A 19660-nucleotide genomic window follows, 5' to 3' on the forward strand; every position below is an offset into this window, starting at 1 on the left:
GGCCTGACCATCCCTGAGGCCTCTGGAGGGGGAGGATTGAAATATGGCCCCCCGCCCCCACCGCCAAAAAAAAAAAAAAAAAAAAAACTCAGGCTGGGCACAGTGCACAGTGGCTCACACCTACAACCCCAGTACTTTGGGAGGCCAAGGTGGGAGGATCACTTGAGCCCTGGAGTTTGAGACCAGCCTGAGCAACATAGTGAGACCCCATCTCCACAAAAAACACAAAAATTAGCCGAGCACGGTGGCACGTGCCTATAGTCCCAGCTACTGGGAAGGCTGAAGGGGGAGGGTTGCTTGAGCCCAGGAGGTTGAGGCTGCAGTGAGCTCTGATTGCACCATTGCATTCTAGCCTGGGCAAGAGAGTGGGACCCCATGTCAAAAATACAAAAGATATGTTGAAGTCCCAACTCCTGATAACTCAAATGTGACTGTGTTGGGAACATCTGGAGTCCTTACAGAGATAATCAAGTTAAAATGAGGTCATTAGTGTGGGTCCTAATCCAACAACTGACGCCCTTATACAAAGGAGAAACCTGGACACAGACATGCACAGAAGACCATGTGACCATGAAGGCAGAGATCAGAGTGATGCTTCTAGAAGCCAGGGAAGATTGCCAGTTAATGACCAAAAGAAGCCAGGAGACAGGCCTGCAACGGATTCTGCCTGAAGGCTCCCAGAAGGAACCAACCCTGACAACACCTTGATCTTGGACTTCCAACCTCCAGAGCTGGGAGGCGACACAATTCTGTTGTTGGCTGCAGTGGCTCACGCCTGTAATCCCAGCACTTTGGGAGGCCAAGGCGGGAGAATTGCTTGAGCCCAGGAGTTTGAGACCAGCCTGGGCAACACAGTGAGACCCCAGCTCTACAAACAAATATAAAAAAGTAGCTGGGCATGATGGGATGCACCTGTAGTCCCAGCTGCTCGGGAGGCTGAGGCTGCAGTGACCTGTGATCGCACCAGTACACTTCAGCCTGGGCAATAGAGCAAGACCTCATCTCTGAAACATAAACAAAAAAACCAATAAAGTCTCTGTTGCTAAAGCTGTCCCGTCTGTGGTAATTTGTTGTGGGAGCCTAGGAAATTCATATAGGGAGTCAGGACACAAAGAGAGTGAGGAGGGAGGCAGAGATGGGGGCAAGGGCCTGAGCCACAGAACTTTAAAGAAACCATTTACAGGAAACAGCAAACGACAGGGTGAGCATCTAGCTGGGCTCTCCAGCAAGGAACCACCTGAGATGCCTGGGACAGTGACGGACAGCTCCAAGTGCCAGCCCGAGCAGCTTCCACGTGTAACTCATGTAATCCTAATAACCATTTAGGAAGGAGAGATGCTTGTACCCACAGTTTACAGAGGAGGAAAGTGAGGTCCTGTCATTGAAGAGATATACCCAGGGACACTCAACTGGTAAGGGGGCTTGAACCCAGGGAGGGCTGGCTCCCCAGGTTGGGCTTGGTGAGCTGTGGGGGGATCCTGGGGGGCCAGAAGAGCCCCCACCCCCGGGCCCACACTGTATTTGAGTGTCTATGCAACCTCAGAGCTGGTCACGCCTGGACGTTCTACACCTGGGAAGCCAGGTGAGCCCACACCTGTGTCCGTCCCCACCTTGCACCTCAGTAGTCTCTGGTCACCTTATTTGTCTTTCTTTTTTCTTTCCTTCTTTCTTCTCTTTTTTTTTTTTTTCCTTTGAGACAGCAGGATCTTGCTGTGTCGCCCAGGCTGGAGTGCAATGGTGCACTCTCAGCTCACTGCAGCCTCATCCTCCCAGGCTCAAGTGATCCTCCCAGCTCAGCCTCCCGAGTAGCTGGGACTACAGGCACACAAAACCATGCCCGGCTAATTTTTGTGTTTTTTGTAGAGATGAGGTTTCACCATGTTGCCCAGGCTGGTCTTGAATTCCTGGGCTCAAGCGATCCTCCCGCCTCAGCCTCCCAAAGTGCTGGGATTACAGGTGTACCCAGGAATCCATTGCACCCAGCCATAGGCGACCCTATCTCACCCATGGGAAACGGGGCTGCACACCTGCCTGTATGTTCGCATCTAAGCCCTGCGTCTGTCTCAAGTCAAGGGTCGGTGCGGCAGGGTGGGCCACTGAGGCCCAGACTCTGTCCTCGGGTGCCCTGTGATGGGGATGGGGAGAGCAACAGGAGGAGAAGCGGCTGCTGGGGGAGAGGGGGCGCCTCTAGCCTGCCCTAGCCTGCAGTTGCCATGGCAACCCTCTGCGTGCTCGAGTGGGTGGGAGTCTGAGTGCCTTGGGTGGGGGGTGGGGGAACCAAGGTGGGGATCTGGGATCTGGGCCCCCTTCATGGTCTCCTCCCTTCCTGGCAGCAGCCGGCCCCTCCACACACAGCCCTCTGGCTGCATCTCCTGCCTCCTGCCCACTCCCCAAACCCAGCCGCCCATGAGCCCGCCTCCTTCAGGAAGCCCTCAGGCATCCGGCAGGTCCATAAGGAAGCCGCAGGCCCTGGGGTGACTATGAAGGATCAGCTGAGAGTTGAAGCCCCTGAATTTCAATCTGCTGTGTAGCTTCAGAGCAAGCACTTGGCCTCTCTGAACCTATTTCCCCATTGCTGCTCAGGGACTAACAGACCTACCTCGCAGAGACAGAGCACGTGCCCAGAGAGGGCCCAGGTACATGATCCTCGGGCAGGGCAGGGTTCTCACAGCATCTCCAGTCCCTGCCCCATCCTCCAGCTCAGTGGATGGCAGCCCAGTCCCTCCAGGGGCTCAGGAACCGGACAGTCATCCTGGATCCCTCTCCCCTCACATCACATCCAGCCCCGTCAGGTCCTGTGGCTACTCCTTCAGAGTCCACTCACCTCTCGCCACTCCTCAGCTTCTCTGGTCCAGCCCCATCATCTCCTGGCTGGACCCCACTTCCCCACCTCACTGTCTACACCTCGTCTCCCTATCTATCTGCCACCCCTGTCCCATCCAATCTCTACCTCGAGGCGAGAACAATCTTTGCAAAATGAAACTGTCTACAGTATGTTTCCCCCAGGGCCACCAGAGGGCGCGTGTGAGCATCTAAGTCAGCCGCTTCCCTCCTCTGCTCAGAACCCTCCGTGGCTCCCACCTCACTCGACCAAAAGCCAAAGTCTGTATCATACAAAGGCTCTGCACTGGGCCGGATGTGGCGGCGCACACCTGTAATCCCAGCACTTCAGGAGGCTGAAGAGGGCTGATTGCTTGGGCTCAGAAGTTCCAGACCAGCCTGGGGAACATAGTGAAACCTTGTCTCTGCCAAAAATACAAAAAGTTAGCCAGGCATAGTGGCACACGCCTGTGATCCCAGCTCCTCGGGAGGCTTAGGTGGGAGGATCTCTTGAGCCCGGGTGGTGGAGGTTGCAGTGAGCTGAGATTATGCCACTGCACTCTAGCTTGGGCAACAGAGCAAGACCCCATCTCAAAAACAAAAAACAAACAAGCCCTGTACAATGTGAAACACCAGGCACTGTTCTGCCTTAGGGCCTCTTCACGGGCTGTTTCTCTCTTCCCCAGATCCCCTCACAGCTCCTCCTGCATCTTCCTTTTGGTCTTTCCTCAAACATCACTAGTTCAGCAAGGTCCTGCTGGCCCCCACACTCCTACACCATGTCCTGACTTGATTTCTCCATACCTATCACCAGCACGCCATGCATTTTATTTGCTTATGAACTCTCTGCTACTAGATGCTGGCTCTGCAGGGTGGGGTTTGCATACTACACTCAGCACAGCGCCTGGCACAAGCAGGAAGCTGAAATATAATTGTTCAACGAAGAACCTTTTAAAGGTCACCCTGGAGCTGGGCACAGTGGCTCATGCCTGTAATCCTAGCACTTTGGGAGACCAATGCAGAATTGCTTGTGTCCAGGAGTTTGAGACCAGCCTGGGCAACACAGTGAGATCCTGTCTCTACAAAAATTTAAAAATTAGCCAGGCATGGTGGCACACACCTGTGGTCCTGGCTACTCGGGAGGCTGAGGCAGCAGGGTCATTCAAGCCCAAAAAGTCAAGGCTGCAGTGAGCTATGATCATGCCACTGCACTCCAGCCTGGGTGACAAAACAAGACTCCGTCTCTAAATAAAATAAAATAAAGGTCACCCCGGCCACCAAGCAGCACTGGACTGCAGAGGGGTAGGGGTCGTTCAAAAAATTCCCTGCCCCCGCCCCCAACACCTTCTCCCTCATCTCCCCATCTATCTGCCACCCCGTCCCATCCAGTCTCTACCCTGAGGTCAGAACGATCTTTGCAAAATGGAAATCCAATTACACCCCTCCCTGCCTACAACCCTCCATGGCTCCCTATTGCCTGTGATGCTCTAACATGGCATCTCAGGCCCTGCTGTCCTGCCACCTTCCCATCACTTCTACTCAGCGTCTGTCTCTCTCTCACACACAGTTCCTTATTCTGCTCTCCCTCCAAAGGGCTCTGCCCAGAGGACAGCATTCGTATCTCTCATATCCACTCTCACAGCACACAGGGTCTCTGTGTTTTGCTCCCCTAACTGGACTTGGGCTCAGCTGTTAAATGTCTGTCTTCCCCACCATCGAGGGACTCTGACGGGAAAGTACCATTGTGGGTTGGGCTGGCTCTTGTTGCATACCCAACCCTGGGCAAGGAGTGGATGCTTATTCATTTGTTTAATGAATGAAGATGAAATAGACCCAAAAAGCAGATCATCTATTCAGTGGATGTTTACCGAGTTCCCAACTGGTCACAAGTGCAATGGAGGAAGGTGTGCTTGACAGGGGGTATACATGTAGGTGCAACTGTAGACAGGGTGGCCAGGAAATGCCTCCCCTAAAAAGTGACATTTCGGCAGAGGTCTTGAGGAGGTGAGCCATCTAGGTACCTGTGCAAAGAGCATTCTGGGCAGAGGAAACAGCACGTGCAAAGGTCCTGGGGTAGGAATGTGCTGAGATGTGGCTGGGGCCCTGCAAGCAAGGGGAAGAGTGGAAGGAGGTGAGGGCGGCTGGGGAGGGGGGTCACAGAGGCCATACAGGGCCTTGTGGACCTCAGGGAGGACTTTGGCTTTCTAGAGAGGTGGGAGCCATCGGGAATCCTGAACAGAGGGATGGGATCTGGCTCGGGTGTTCACAGGTGTCCTCTGGCCGCAGAGGTGGAGATCAGACTGTGTGTGGGGAGGGTTGCTGGGAGTGGAGGGTACTCTCTACCCCACCTGTCCCTTGCCTTTTGTCCACAGGGCTGTCAAAGCCAGAAACCTGAAGCTTCCACCAAGCACTGGCTGCTTCTGGCCCCCACCTTGCTGGTTGCCTCCTGGCCTCCCTTCTGGCCTCCTGGCCTCCCTTCCTGCCAACTATGGCTCTCTCCCACGTAGCAGCTAGAGGGAGCTCATGCTAAACATTCTCACCCTGCCATCTGGATCCTGACGCAAACCCCCTACCTCTACCCCCACCCCTGCCACAGGCCCTGGCAGCCCCACAGTCACAAGTCCAGCCAGCAGCCTCCAGCTTCTCTCCACATGCAGTTGTGAAACATTTCTCCTTCCTCCCCTTTGAGCCACCATCTTCTGTCTGACCTCAGGGCAGCCCCTCTCTCTCACAGATGCTCCTTCCCCTCCACCATACCCCTCCTCCCCCTCCAGGTTGCAGCTGGGAAGCCCCCTCCTCCGGGAAGCCTTCCCTGACTTGCAACTCTGTTGCGCTCACCATCATGGCACGTCCACACCACAGTGGCCTGTGGTCTGTTTCCACTCCAAAGTGTTCACTGTCCAGCCCCAACCTTTGCACTCTGAGCTCAGCAGAGCAGAGCTGAAAAGAGTTCTAGAAGCTAGGGCCCGAGCAGAGGGCACAGAGGCGGGATCCCCCTGCCTCATCAGATGCTGGCAGGTAAGGGGCAGGGTAAGACCAGGAGACAGGGGCATGGTGCCTAGCAGGGCAGGAGAGAAGAGGCCTCCGGCATAGCGCCCTTAAGTTGCAGGTTCAAATCCAGGCTGTGCGCCGTCATGTCAGCACGACAGGACACCCACGTCACTCCTCTCAATTCTGTCTCTCCACGGGGGAGCTGGGGAACGAGAGCCTCCCAGGGTGGCTGTGGGGGTTAGAAATAATTTTCGGCAATTCCACACATCTTTTTTGGAGCATCTTCTATGTGCCAGACACTGAGGGGCTGGGTACAAAAAAGTCGATTCTATAGCGTACCAGTGTTGTGAAAGAAGATAAAGCCAGGAAAAGTGGCTATGAGTGTGTGTGGGTTTGGGAGTGTGTGTGTTTTTTTTTTTAATCGTATTTTTAGAGACAGGGTCTTACTCTGTTGCCCAGGTTGGAGTGCAGTGGTGGGATCATAGCTCACCACAGCCTCTGAGCTCAAGGGATCCTCCTGCCTCAGCCTCCCAAGTAGCTGGGACCACAGGGCGTGTGCCACCGTGCCCAGCTAATTTTTAATTTTTTTGTAGAAATGGGGGCCTCGTTATGTTTCCCAGGCTGGTCTCAAACTCAAGCGATCCTCCCGCCTCATCCTCCCAAAGTGCTGGGATTACAGGCACGAGCTACTGTGCCCGGCTGTTGCAATTTTATTTTATTTTATTTATTTATTTGAGACAGAGTCTTGCTCTGTCATCCAGGCTGGAGTGCAATGGCGTGATCTTGGCTCACTGCAACCTCTGCCTCCCAGGTTCAAGCGATTCTCCTGACTCAGACTCCTGATTAGCTGGGACTACAGGCACTCACCACCACACCCAGCTAATTTTTGTATTTTTAGTAGAGACAGGGTTTCACCATGTTGGTCAGGCTGGTCTCGATCTCCTGATCTCAGGTGATCCACCCACCTCGGCCTTCCAAAGTGCTGGGATTACAGGCATGAGCCACTGTGCCCGGCTGTTGCAATTTTCAACAGGATGATCAGGAAAGGCCATCTCCCCTGGAGAAGATGACATTTCAGCAAACCCCTGTGAATTTGAGAGAGGAGCACGCAGGTGTTCAGTTCAGGAGAGTTAGAAGAGCATCCTGGGCAGGGTCACAGCCCGTGCAAAGGCCCTGGGGCTGGACCGTGCCTATATGTTTGAATAACGGTGGCAGCTGCATCGAGGAAGCGGGTTGTGAGCTGGTGAGGAGAGTGGGAGGAGGTGAGAGCAGGGAGGTGCCGGGAACAGACTGTGCAGGACTCGCCTTGTACTTTAAACACACAACTGCTCCCCAAATGGGGCCGCCCCTCTGCCCAGCCTTCACTCCCAGAAGCCACTAGGGGGCGTTCTGGGGCAGGGTCGGCCAACCATGGTCAGGCCCCCGCCTGCCTTTGTACAGCTGGTGAGCTAAGAATGGTGTTTACATTTTTAAAGGACTGAAGAGAAGAAGAGAAAAGAGAACAGGCCACAGAACCCGTCTGCGGCCCGCAAAGCTTGCAGGATTTACCATCGGGCTTTCTACAGAAAAGTCAGCCAACCTCTACTCTATTTTATTTACGTATATATTTTTTTGAGACAGGGTCTTGCTCTGTTGCCCAGGCTGGAATGCAGTGGCGCGATCACAGCTCACTGCAGCCTTGACCTCCCAGCTCAAGTGATCCTCCTGCCTCAGCCTCCCGGGTAGCTGGGACGACAGGCGTGCGGCACCATGCCCAACTAATTTTTAAATTTTGTATTCTGTAAAGAAGGGGGTCTCGCTTTGTCGCCCAGGCTGGTCTTGAACTCCTGGACTCAAGTGATCCTCCTGCCTCAGCCTCCCAAAGTGCTGGGATTACAGGCGTGGGCCACTTTTTCCCACTGGCAACCTCTACTCTACAGCCATCACTGCCAACCCAGGACAATTCTGCCCCTGATCCCAGTATGTTTAGCAATGTCTGGAGACTTTCTGAGGTGTTACGACTGTGGGGCTGGAGGTGTCACTGACATCCATCGGGAAGAGGCTAGGGTGGCCTCTGAGCATCCTATAGTACAGAGGACAGCCTCCCACAGAGAATGATGCAGTGCCGAAGTCAGGAGTAATGGAAATCGTCTAGGAAATCCTGTCTGGGAAAGCCAGCCCCGGACCCCTCACCTCCTCAAGGGATAAGAAGGAGAATCCATCTGGCTTCCTGACCTGATCATTTGTGACCTGCAGGGTATTTTTAGCCTCTGAGGGAGGGGCACTGGCTATTCTGAGTTTTTTTGTTTTTTTTTTTTGGCGGGGTGGGGGGGGGCAAGGTTATTTTTGGCCTGGGCATCTATTTATTGAATTTTTATCTCCCCCCAAATTTTGGAACAGGAGACAGTGAAGGCAGGGGCATTTTTTTTTTTTTTTAAGAGTCAGGATCCTGCTTCGTCGCCCAGGCTGGAGTGCACTTGTGCAATCATAGCTCACTGCAGCCTCAAACCTCTGGGCTCAAGCCATCCTCCCACCTCAGCCTCCTGAGCAGCTGAGACTACAGGTACATATTCACGATGCCCAACTATTAAAAAAAAAATTTTAGAAACGAGTCTTGCTATGTTGCCCAGGCTGATCTCAAATTCTTGTCCTCAAGCAATCCTCCCACCTCGGCTTCCCAACATTCTGGGTTTACAGGTGTGAGTCACCACACCTGGGTCAGGTAAGACTTCTTGAACGCACACTGTGGGCCAGTGATGACTGTTGACACCTGGGATTCCCAAAGCAAAGCAAATCACAACATCCTCGCGCGCTTGGATCCTCCTCACAGACACAGACAGTAAACAAACAAGCGCAGAACATCAGGAAATTACAGACTATGTGAAAAGCCGTCCGCTGTACTGAACATCAGGAGGGGTGTGGGAAGCTGAGACTTTGCAGAAGGTGCCTGGGAGTAAACGTTACTGGGGAGGTGATATTTCAAGAGGGTGGGGGAGAAAAAGCCTCGAAAATATCTGGGGAAGGGTCCTCCGTGGCAGAACAGCCAGTGCAAACGCCCCGGGGTAGGATCACACTTAGCACACTGGACGAGCAACGAGGAGGGAGGAGATGGCCCAGAAAGACCATGAAGGGCCAGACCCCAGGACAGTCCAAGCCTGTGGGCTACTGCAGTCAGAGTTTGGGGCTACCCTCGAAAAGAAGACACACATGCCTTCTCCCCAACTCACATGACAGGAGAGTTTTGCTTTTTTGTTTTGGGTTTTTTTTTTTTATTGAGAATGAGTCTCGCTCTGTCGCCCACGCTGGAGTGCAGTGGCACAATCTCGGCTCGCTGCAACCTCCGCCTCCTGGATTCAAGCAATCCTCCCGCCTCAGCCTCCCTGGTAGCTGGGACTACAGGTGCACACCACCACGCCTGGCTAATTTCTGTACTTGTAGTAGAGATGGGGTTTCACCATGTTGGCCAGGCTGGTCTCGAGCCCCTGACCTCAGGTGATCCACCCGCCTCAGCCTCCCAAAGTGCTGGGATTACAGGTATGAGCCACCACGCCCAGCTGATAGGAGAGCTTTGATGGAAACCCCATATGTGTTGCTAGAGTGTGAGCTCCATGAGGACAGGACATGGCCACCACCCCCCATGGCGCCCCCTGCATGGTGCTGGGTGGGGAGGCAAGTGTGTGCAGATTGCATGACAAGGTGCACCCAGCCTTGCTCCAAGAAGTCCTGAGCACACAACTGCAGGTGCACAAAAGATGCAGACAGCCCCATGTGTGCACACAGACAGCTACTCCTTCTTGCAGCCCTGCCTCCCCCAGCATGACCACCCCCTCTGCAAAACACAAACACCAGCACAGGAGGGACCTTTATGAACACCGGATGAGTCTGATGGTCACGTGGCCACATGCACCCTTGGCTAGATCACCATCCAGGCCACACAGGCAGAGGACACCTATGCACAGGTGCAGACAGACAGACAGACATCTGGATTCTGGGGACACCGGGACCCCCTCCATGTTTCTACTTGGCCTCCCACCTCACTCCAGGACCCGTCTCTCCCCTTCCATCAGGGTGCCCAATAGCAACCACTTTGCCCCAAACCCAGCCTGGGAGGAGCTGTCTGTCTTGCCACGGCACCTTCAGGGTCACTGGGGTCAGGGTTTCAGACCCAGGGAACCCCCGCCTCAGGAGCCCCTCCCCCTGCCTCCCCACAGAGGGGCTGGAGGAGGGGAAGTGTCTGGCATCTGGAAATCAGATCCGTGAGAGGAACCCACACAGAAACGAGAGCCTTGTGTGTCCTTGGCCACATGTCTCGCCAGGGAGAAAGGAGGGGGTGGAGGGCAAAGACGATGCTCTGGCGGGGATGGCAGTGCTCCCACTCCTCCCGTTCCTCTTGAGGGGCACCCACTGCCACCCTCCCCACCGAGATGCCTGCGCTGGGGCTGAAGCAACACATGCTCTGCCACCAGCCTGGCAGGGTAGGGAGGACGCAGACGCCCCGAGATGCAAGCGTCACACAGCCTCACATGCAGGTGGAGAGGCCACCCGCCAGGAGCCCAAACTGCTGGATGCAAACACACTCCCGTGCAGCTGAGGCGCCTGTAGGCTCCTCCCCAACGTGCCCACAGGGTCCTCCAAGGCCCCCCAGGAGAAAGGGCTCCCCTGGGCAGGCTGGGAATAGAAGCTGGGCTTCGAGTCCCCCCCTTCCACCCCCTCCCTGCAGGCTCCACAGCCCAGGTGTGCTGGTCCCCAGCTCCCCATCCTCCCCAAGCCTGGGCGCCAGCTACACCCCCAAGAGCAGGAATCAGCGTGGGTGATCACGGGGTACGCAAGCGCCCAGAAGTGGGGATTGAGATGGGCGCCCCTTGGAGAGAAAGAGGGCCTGCAGGGGTGTCCCAGAGCAGATGCCACACACACATGGGGTGGACCGAGCGGGGCCATGAGGGAGGTCACCAAGCTGGGTAGGAAGATGGTGGCAAGACCAGCAGGAGGGCCGGGACCCACATGTGAGCGCACACGTATGTCGCACACGTATGTGGCTCCGTGCACGGGTGCGATCGCTGCCAGCCATGGAATTAGTTCCCTTTTCCGAATTCCAGATGATTTTTCATCTCTGTAATTAATGGGCAAGTCAGTTCTGAACGGCATGGCAGACAAATTGCTAGTTAGGAAAATCACGGATAATTTTCTCGATATGATAATGAAGGTTGTAATCCTTCTCTTATTCTCCCTGTTTTCATCCTACTTTTAAGTAATAAATTTGGCATTAGTGGGAGGGGAGCAGGGAGGAAGGAGAAGTCACCTGCCCCCCAAAGCTGGGGCCTGACAGGGACCCACGCAGAGTCCCCTGCCGGGGGCAGACAGGAGAAGAGAATGAGGGGTGTGGACCCTCCGTGGGGTTGATCAATTCAGGGGGCCAGGCCCTGGAGAGCAGGTGGAGGGCACGGAGCTTTCAGGCTGTGAGCCAGGGTGAAGGAGTGGGGTCTGGGGTCAGGTTAGACTCATGCCAGCCCTTGGGGTGTTGGAGAGAGAAGCAGAAACCAATGGTCTGTCCCCAAACAGCATGGAGGTCAACGGCCCGGAATAGACATTCACCCTCAGGTGTGCCCCACTGGATCCGACCTCCTCTAAGCAGTGACTCCCTACCAGGATAAGGGAGCCGGGCAAGCAGAGAGGGGAAGAGAGAAAGACAGAGAGAGATAGAGAAAGACAGAGAGAGTGAGAGAGAGAGAGAGAGAGAGAGAGAGACAGACAGAGAGAGAGAGAGCGCGCGAGCCAGCCATCTTGGCAGCCATTTTGAACCCCTCCCCCTCCTGCCCCCAGGCACACATGTTGGGAAGTGGGATGTGGGAAGACAGACCCCAGCTCTGAGTCCGGTGGAAGCCAGGCGGAAGGGGGGGCCCTGCCTGGAACTGGGATACAGAAACACCCACGCAGCTGGCATGGCTGGGGGTGGATGGGGGTTGGAACAGGAAGAAAGGGTCCAGGCAGGTACAGTGAGGTGTTGGCCAGGGATGGGGCAGTGTGAGGACCCGGACTGGAAGTGTAGAGACAGGGGTGTGTGTAGCCAGCGGCTGTCTTCAGATGGGGGCCAGGGGTGCACTGGAGAGATACCTGGGAGGGCATTTTCTGGACACGGCTGGAGCAAACACAGCATCCCCCCACCCCACCACTTCAGGCCTGGACTCGGGTCCCAGGACCGTCAGATGGGAGGATGACAACCAAACCCTCGCAGCTCAATCCAATGCGCACCTGGGGTGGGGGTGGGGAGCTGTCCTCAAAGCACGAATAATCCGAGTGGATCAAACCTGCCGGCCTCCCGTGCTTTAACCCGGCACCACGGAGAGAAGGTGCTGCCCGGCTGCACCCCCTCCTCCTGACAGCGGCGCCCCCCGGACTGCGGCCGGCTGGACACCCAGACGGACCCCTCCCCATCCCCCGCGCCACTGCCTCCCAGAGAAAAACAACCCCCTCGCCCAGCATCCTGTGGTGCCAGCCCCCGACACGGCTCCTCTGGGGCGCGGGGCCGGCGCGCGGCGCGCACACGCACCCCCTCCGCTCACACCCAGACACCTACACAAACAGGGCGCCAAGCACCCGCGCGCACACGCACCGGGGACACGCAGGCACCGCCGCGCCGCTTCCCCACAAAGGCTGGCGCGCGCGCGGGCACACGCAGCCACGCGCGGGCACACTCGCGGTCCCCTCCCCCCGCCAGGCACCCTGCGGTAGCCCGTCCGCACCCCCGCGCCCCGGGCGCTCCGTGGGGGCCGCCCCTCCCAGGCCCCTCGCCAGTGGGGGTGAGGTGCGGGCTGCCCCCGACGCCCCTCCCGCTCAGGTGCGGTGCCCCGCGCGGCTCCCGTGTCCCCTCCCCCCTCGCGGCCAGGACAGGCCCCGGCCTCCCATCCTTCCCGCCTCCCCTCTTCCACGCGCCCCGCACACCTGGCCCAGGTGCGGCTTCGCCCCTCGCCCTGGGCCCGCAGACACTCACCTGTCCAGCGCCTCTCTGGGGTCGGCCCAGCGTGTCTCTCCTGCGGCTCGGCGAACCCGGGCCCCCCGCCCGGCACATCTCCCGGAGCCGGGGCTGGGGGGAAGCGGGTAGGAGGTGGCGGGACGAGGGCGGCCTCCGTGTCCCTTCCTTCCCCTGGCCCAGCACCGCCGCCGACCAAAAATTAGGAAAAAAAAAAAAAAAGAAAAGAAAAGAAAAAAAAGAGGCGGATTACACGGATCCAAAGGCGGCCCCCTCGCGGCGGCGGAGGCTCGGGACTGGGGGCGATCGGGTCTGCGCCCCTCCCGGGGAGGGAGGCGGTGGGGCGGGGGCGGCGTCAGAGCGCCGGGGGCTGGGGCGAGGCGGAGCGCCCCGAGGCGGCGCCGGCAGCGGCCCGCATCTCCCCCGCAGCTCCGCGGCCCCGACGGAGGCGGCACGTGTGCGCCCAGGCGACTTCCCAGCCCCCTCCGACGCCGGCGGTGGACGAGGGGTTAACGGGGCAGCCGGGGCGCCCCTGCAGGCCCCCGCCGCCCGGCGGCGCCGCTCCGGGGCCCGCGCGGCCCCATCAGCCGGGGCCTCCTCGGCAGACGGCGGGGCGGGGGCACCGCAGCGCCGACAGCTCCCGCGCCGACGGCTCGGGCTCCCCGCAGTGGCCGCGGGGAGCTCGGGTTGGGGGCGGGCGGCGCGGAGCTGGCGGAGGGGGGCGGCGCGGCTGGAGGCGGGTGCCGCGGCGTCGCGCCCCCGGTGCGGCCGGAGGGGGGGCGCCGGGCCGGGCCCGTGGGCACCGCAGGACGCGCGGACCGAGCCGGCGCCGGGCACCAGCAATGACAAGCCGCCTGCTCGCCCCGCTCCCCGGCGCACCCGCTCCGGGAGGGGGGCGGTGGGCGCGCGCAAAACCCGGCCCGGAGTCGCCGCCCGGGACTGGCCGCCGCAACCCGCTTGAGCGCCCCAGGAGCCGGCCCGAAAACCCGGGCTGGACTTTCCTTCCTTTCGCCTCCTCTCGCCTCCTCCCTGGAAAAGCAGGGAGAGGGAAAGCGACGTGCTGGAGCCCCGCGTTGGAGCGGGGAGTGGGGGAAGGGAGACAGGCGTAAGGAAGACCCGGAGCGGATTTTCCAGTGAAGTATAAGGAAAGGCGCCGAGCCCGGGGAAGGAGGGCGCAAATGGGGAGATCTGGAAGGGTTGTGCAAAACCCGAGTTGGATTAGATAAAGATGGGAGGAACGGTGTTGGAGCGGGGGGTTGGGGGGTAGATGCGACATGGCCAAATGCACCCGGGGCACGCAAATTTCGGGCCGGATTCTTTCTCGGGAGACGGAGTAATGCGTCAGGCCTAACGCAGTGGAAACAAGCAAGACCCGGCCCGGAACTCCCGGGACCTGGGTTCGCATGGTGGGGGGTTCTGGAAGGGGGATGCTTAGTGGCTGAGGCGACTTGGGCTGCCCTCATCTTCCTGGCAGCGACGTGCAAGGGGGACGGGCAAAAGGAGGACTGGACTCGGGTACGAAGGGATTTGGCGCGCTGGCTGCACCGGAGCGGACAGGTAAAAGCGGTTTCTGGATCCAGGGGCGCTGCGAAGGGAATGCGATGAGGCCGCTACCCTGGGAGACCAGACCTACAATAAAAGGCGAGGGAGGCACGCAAAGCCAGGACTGGAGCGCGGGACGGGATGAGACCCTCAGCAGAAGATCCTGGGCCACCGGGACAGGGGCTTGGAGCTGACCGGGCAGCAGGGGCGGAGGGAAGCGTTAGGGGGAGGTTTGTACCTGTAAACGCCTCAAAGTCTTGCTTTTGGGGAGGGGGTGCGAGGGGAAAAATTGAATTTTATGTTCTCTAAAAGAGTAAAAACCCGGCATGGATTTTCAACACCTAACAACTCCATTGCAGCTGGTGGACTCTAAGAAGTAGGGCAAGAAGCAGGCTTGGGTTCCCAGGCATCAGACCAAGTGAGGCGAGGGGCAGGTTTCGGGTTGAGGCTGCAGAGGGAGCCCCCGCACCCCCTCTCTGGGGTGGGGAAGGCTGTTGGACCCGGCTTGGCTCTCTGGAGAGCGAAAGTTATGACTGCCAAGACCTATAGCTGGGGCTATAAAACTGGGCCCCAAGCCAAAAATAGGCACTTCGGCAGAACAGGCAACTTTGTGCAGGGTGGGGGCTGGAGGGAAATGGAAGTGGGAAGAATCCTGGAGTGGAGGGAACAGGGGGGAGGGGGGGAGTCCCTGAAGCGGGGCTGCTGGCTCCATTTTATGAAAGATGGGAAGACTGATGGCTGGGGAGGGCTTGGAATCCTCAGGGAAGGGAATCCATTCAAGTGAGGCCCAAATGTTAAAGCAGACAGCTCAGAGTTCAAAGTTGGGCTGCATCTTAGCAGCAGGGCAGACAAACCCTGATCTGAGTTTTAGAGGAGGGGGACGGGCTGAGGATGGGGATGGGGGAAACCCCCATTCCCTATATGTCCAGGGAAGAGAGTGCATTGCTAACCATGCGCTTTGCAGAATGAATGAGGAAAGGGAAAAGGGTTCCTGAGTAGGAGTGGTAAATCCACAAAACTTGAGGCATATCTGGATGGGAAAAATGAGTATCTAAGAAAGCCTGAATTGAATATCTGCACGGGAATTAACTTGGCCTCTAAGAATCCCTTCCTAGAAGCACGTCCCTGTGGCTAAACTGGAGGAAGTGCAGGGACACCAGACTTCCAGGCTGCCCGGGTGACCACGCACCACTGCTGTGGCAGCCTGTCACCCTCCACCGCCTTCTACGGACAGCTGTCTCTTCACGACGGGGAAGGGATTCTTGAAAGCCAGAACCTAGGCAAATCTGGCCCCAGAGAACTTCAAAATGGAGGGATGGGTCACTTTCGTTCCTCCTTCATGCCCAGGATTTCATGGCTGCAAAGCTGTCCAGCCTTGAATCTGGGTGGCCAGGTTGGACACCGGGATCTGGGGGACCAAATATAAAGTAGGATTTGGTGAGTGCAAAACGGATCCCATCCATCTGTGGTTGACTGCAGATCCACTGGGTATGGAGGAGGGCATCCCATCTCTCTACGCCTCAATTTCCCAGTTTGAGATATTGACAGCACCAAGTAAGACCCATGAAGGCTTTGAGATGGAGGGCACTCCAGGCAGCCAGCTTTCTATAAACCCAGCAGTACCGAAAAGGGAACAGAACTTGACGCTCAGGAAAAGCTGGTCACCTCCTTGTTCTCCTGCTCCAGGCCTTTGTCCCCACCCCACCCTCCAGCCCTGAGCAGCCCACCCACTTCCCCCTACAGAGCTAGCCTAGGAGGTGGTTCTAACTTGCACTCTCCAGAGGCTACGAGAAGGAGTGGCCTTTACTTACATGAGGGAAAGCAACGACATTCTTTAAGGCACCCTCAGCTCAGTTTGGAAAACCCCAGCCGGAACCCCCCTCACCCCCGCCCCTCGCCCCTTTCTAGACCCTCTAAACCCCACTGGTCCCAGCTGGGATCGGCTCTCCAGCCTCCATCTGATCCATGTCTCCTGGACTTGTGAGCGGCGTGCTCAGGAGGCAAAGAGTGCGGAGGGGCTGGGGGGCGCGTAAAGAGCCCTGGCGCCCCTCAGGCCTTCGGCTGCGCAGCCGCAGTGGAGGCCGCGCCAGCAACCGGGCTCCGGGAACCAAGGCGTCCGCGCGCGCACGCAGACTCGCCCGCGCGCCGCGTGCCCCGCGCTGCCCAGGTCGGTACCCGCGCTTCGGACACCCTGCTCCCAGGGCGCTCCTCGCTTCCAGCCTCCCACTTTGCGCCTTGGGCTCCCCATGAGCCCCGCTCCTGAGACACCCCACGCTCTGTGTATTCCGTCCCACGGGACCTCCACGCCCACGGTGCCACGCGCCTCGAGTACCCCATGTTCTATGAACCCTGCACCTGGACGCCCCATCTTCTGCGCACCCTGTGCTAGAGAACCCGCACGCCCAGGGTGCCCTATGCCTAGGGCACCCTGTGCTCTCCTGCGTATCTGGGACTCCACATTTTGTACGCCTAGCACCTCCAGCATCCCAGCGTCAGACACAGCTGGGCTCGCCTGTGCCTTGTCTGTCCCCTCTCTGTGCCTTCCATGTATTGCGCCCACTGCCTCGGTTGGGCCCCCAGCCTCACAGTCCTGAAGGCTCTGCTTCACCCCAGTGCTCAGCTTCCCTTTGCCTCAGGCCCAGCGCCCTCGTTCCCGGGTGCCCTGCCTCAGGCTCCTGGACAGGTCAGGGCAACGCCAGACAGCCACTGTCCACCAGGCGCCCCCAGCCCCTGTTTTCCTAGAGCCCATTCGGTATAGGATGCACAACCCTGCTGTTCATTTCACTGCTCGGTGCACGTATTCATTCCTTCCATTTACGCCTCAAACACACAGCACGCACCTTATATGCTCTTACCTGTCAGGTGCAGTGTGATGCATTGAGAATGCGCCTCCAGTGCACAGGGAACAAGGCAGGGAGCCTTCTCTGGGCGCTCCCTTCATCATGGAGAAGATGGACTCAGAATGTGTGATGGAATGAGCCCTGGAAAGTCAGCAGGTGCCAGGGAGTGGAGGATGGACCTATCCAAGCCTTGAGGTGTGGGTGAAGTTTTGTGTGTCCCTGGCCTTTCCAGAGGCTCCCTGTACCCCCATCTTAGGCAACTTCTTTTATTTATTTATTTATATTTGTATTTATTTATTTATATTTGTATTTATTTATTTATTTTGAGGAGTCTCGCTCTGTTGCCCAGGATGGAGTGCAGTGGCACGATCTCTGCTCACTGCAACCTCCCTCTCCCGGGTTCAAGTGATTTCCGGCTAATTTTTGTATTTTTAGTAGGGACAGGGTTTCACCATGTTGGCTAGGCTGGTCTCGAACTCCTGACCTCAAGTGATCCGCCCACCTCGGCCTCCCAAAATGTTAGGATTACAGGCGTGAGCCACCGCGCTGCCCTCTTTATTTATTTTTAGAGACAGGGTCTCTCTCTGTCACCCAGGTTGGAGTGCAGTGATGAAATCATACCTCACTGCAGCTCACTGCACGAGCCACCACACCCAGCTAATTTTTGTTTTTTTTTTTTTCATAGCTTGCTATGTTGCCCAGACTGGTCTCAAACTCCCGGGCTCAAATGATCCTCCTTCCTAAGTCTCCCAGAGGGCTGGGATTACAGGTGTGAGCCATGGTGGCCGGCCAACCTTGGGCGATTTCTGAGCTCCATTCAGTTCCACCCCCACTGCCAAGCCAAGTGGAGGGCAAGATAAAGAGGTCCCAGAATTGGGCTAGGAGGATAGGTTGGGGGCAGGGAGTAATTCCAACTGTGTTCTTTTTTTTTTTTTTTTTGAGATGGAGTCCCACTCTGTCATCCAGGCTGGAGTGCAGTAGCATGATCTCGACTCACTGCAACTTCTGCCTCCCAGATTCAATTGATTCTCCTACCTCAGCCTCCCAAGTAGCTGGGATTACAGGCATGCGCCTCCATGCCAGGCTAATTTTTGATTTTTTTTTTTTTTTTTCAGTAGAAACGGTTTCACCATGTTGGCCAGGCTGGTCTTGAACTCCTGACCTCAAATGATCTGCCCACCTCAGCCTCCCAAAGTGCTGGGATTACAGAAATGAGCCACTGCACCCGGCCAGGTTTTTTTGTTGTTTGTTTTTTGTTTTGTTTTGTTTTGTTTTTTTGAGACGCAGTTGCCCAGGCTGGAGTGCAATGGTGTGATCTCAGCTTACCACAACCTCCACCTCCGGGGTTCAAGCCATTATCCTGCCTCAGCCTCCGGAGTAGCTGGGATTACAGGCACACACCACCACGCCTGGCTAATTTTGTATTTTTAGTAGAGACGGGGTTTCTCCGTGTTGGTCAGGCTGGTCTTGAACTCCCATCCTCAGGTGATCTGCCCACCTCAGTCTCCCAAAGTGCTGGGATTACAGGCGTGAGCCACCGCGCCCATCCTCAGGGGGTATATTTTGAAGGTGGAGCAGATGGATTGGAAGTGGGATACGAGGGAAAGAGGTAAGTCAAAATGTGTGAGCTGAGTGAGCCCCTGGAAGGATGGAGAGGATGGAGAGGAGGCAGTTTTGTAGGTTAGATCCAAGCCTTTGGTTTGATATGTCCAAGTGGAGGCATGAAGTTGGTGCCCGGGGAGAGGTTCAGGCTGGCCGAGAAATGGCTCAAATGAACACGAATGCTCTCATTTATACTTTATGGTAACTCTGTGGGTGGGGGACTTTCTCCCCATCTTATAGAAGGGGCAACGAAGGCTCCAGAACATGCCCAAGTAGTTAAAAAATGTAGTTATAGGCCGGGCGCAGTGGCTCACGTCTGTAATCCCATTACTTTGGGAGGCTGAGGTGGGCAGATCACCTGAGGTTGGGAGTTCGAGACCAGCCTGACAAACATGGAGAAACCCGGTCTGTACTAAAAATACAAAATTAGCCAGGCATGGTGGCACATGCCTGTAATCCCAGCTACTTGGGAGGCTGAGGCAGGAGAATCGCTTGAATCCGGGAGCTGGAGGTTGTGGTGAGCCGAGATCGCACCACTGCAATCCAGCCTGGAGACAGAGCAAGACTCAGTCTAAAAAAAAAAAAAAAAAAGAAAAAGTTAGGTTCTGAGCCGGGTCCCAGATTTGGGCTGGGAGGATAGGGTGGGGGCAGGGAATAATTCCAACCGTGGTCTTTTTCTTTTCTCACTCTGTTGTCCAGGCTGGAGTGTAGTGACTCAATCTCAGCTCACTGCAACCTCTGTTTCCTATGTTCAAGCAAGTCTCCTGCCTCAGCCTCCTGAGTAGCTGGGACGACAGGCATACACCACCATGCCTGGCTAATTTTGTATTTTTGTAGAGACAGGGTTTCACAATGTTGCCCAGGCTGTTCTCAAACTCCCAGGCTCAAGCGATCCTCCCGCCTCGGTCTCCCAAAATGC

At 57.0% G+C, this 19660-nt stretch overlaps 1 protein-coding gene across 16 annotated transcripts in view, besides 3 other annotated features; it reads right to left on the reverse strand.

Moving 5' to 3' along the window:
- ADGRL1 (adhesion G protein-coupled receptor L1) overlaps nucleotides 1–12963 on the reverse strand; it is a 58427-nt gene extending 45464 nt beyond the window's left edge. For all 16 annotated transcript variants that reach the window (XM_047438418.1, NM_014921.5, XM_005259818.4 and 13 more), the window contains exon 1: nucleotides 12779–12963. The gene's annotated coding sequence lies outside the window, so the exon portion shown is untranslated. The remainder of the gene's footprint in view (nucleotides 1–12778) is intronic.
- Nucleotides 13577–13636: a silencer, noted in NCBI's record as "silent region_10237". NCBI's record gives its function as "represses an Ori minimal core promoter by ATAC-STARR-seq in GM12878 lymphoblastoid cells {active_cell/tissue: GM12878}" and the evidence as "EXISTENCE:reporter gene assay evidence [ECO:0000049][PMID:35858748]".
- Nucleotides 13657–13756: a silencer, noted in NCBI's record as "silent region_10238". NCBI's record gives its function as "represses an Ori minimal core promoter by ATAC-STARR-seq in GM12878 lymphoblastoid cells {active_cell/tissue: GM12878}" and the evidence as "EXISTENCE:reporter gene assay evidence [ECO:0000049][PMID:35858748]".
- Nucleotides 16419–16918: an enhancer, noted in NCBI's record as "H3K27ac hESC enhancer chr19:14320437-14320936 (GRCh37/hg19 assembly coordinates)". NCBI's record gives its function as "activates a minimal SCP1, AML or CMV promoter by ChIP-STARR-seq in naive H9 embryonic stem cells {active_cell/tissue: H9 hESC(naive)}" and the evidence as "EXISTENCE:reporter gene assay evidence [ECO:0000049][PMID:30033119]".

Source organism: Homo sapiens, chromosome 19 (genome assembly GCF_000001405.40).
Source record: "Homo sapiens chromosome 19, GRCh38.p14 Primary Assembly".
NCBI lineage: Eukaryota > Metazoa > Chordata > Mammalia > Primates > Hominidae > Homo > Homo sapiens.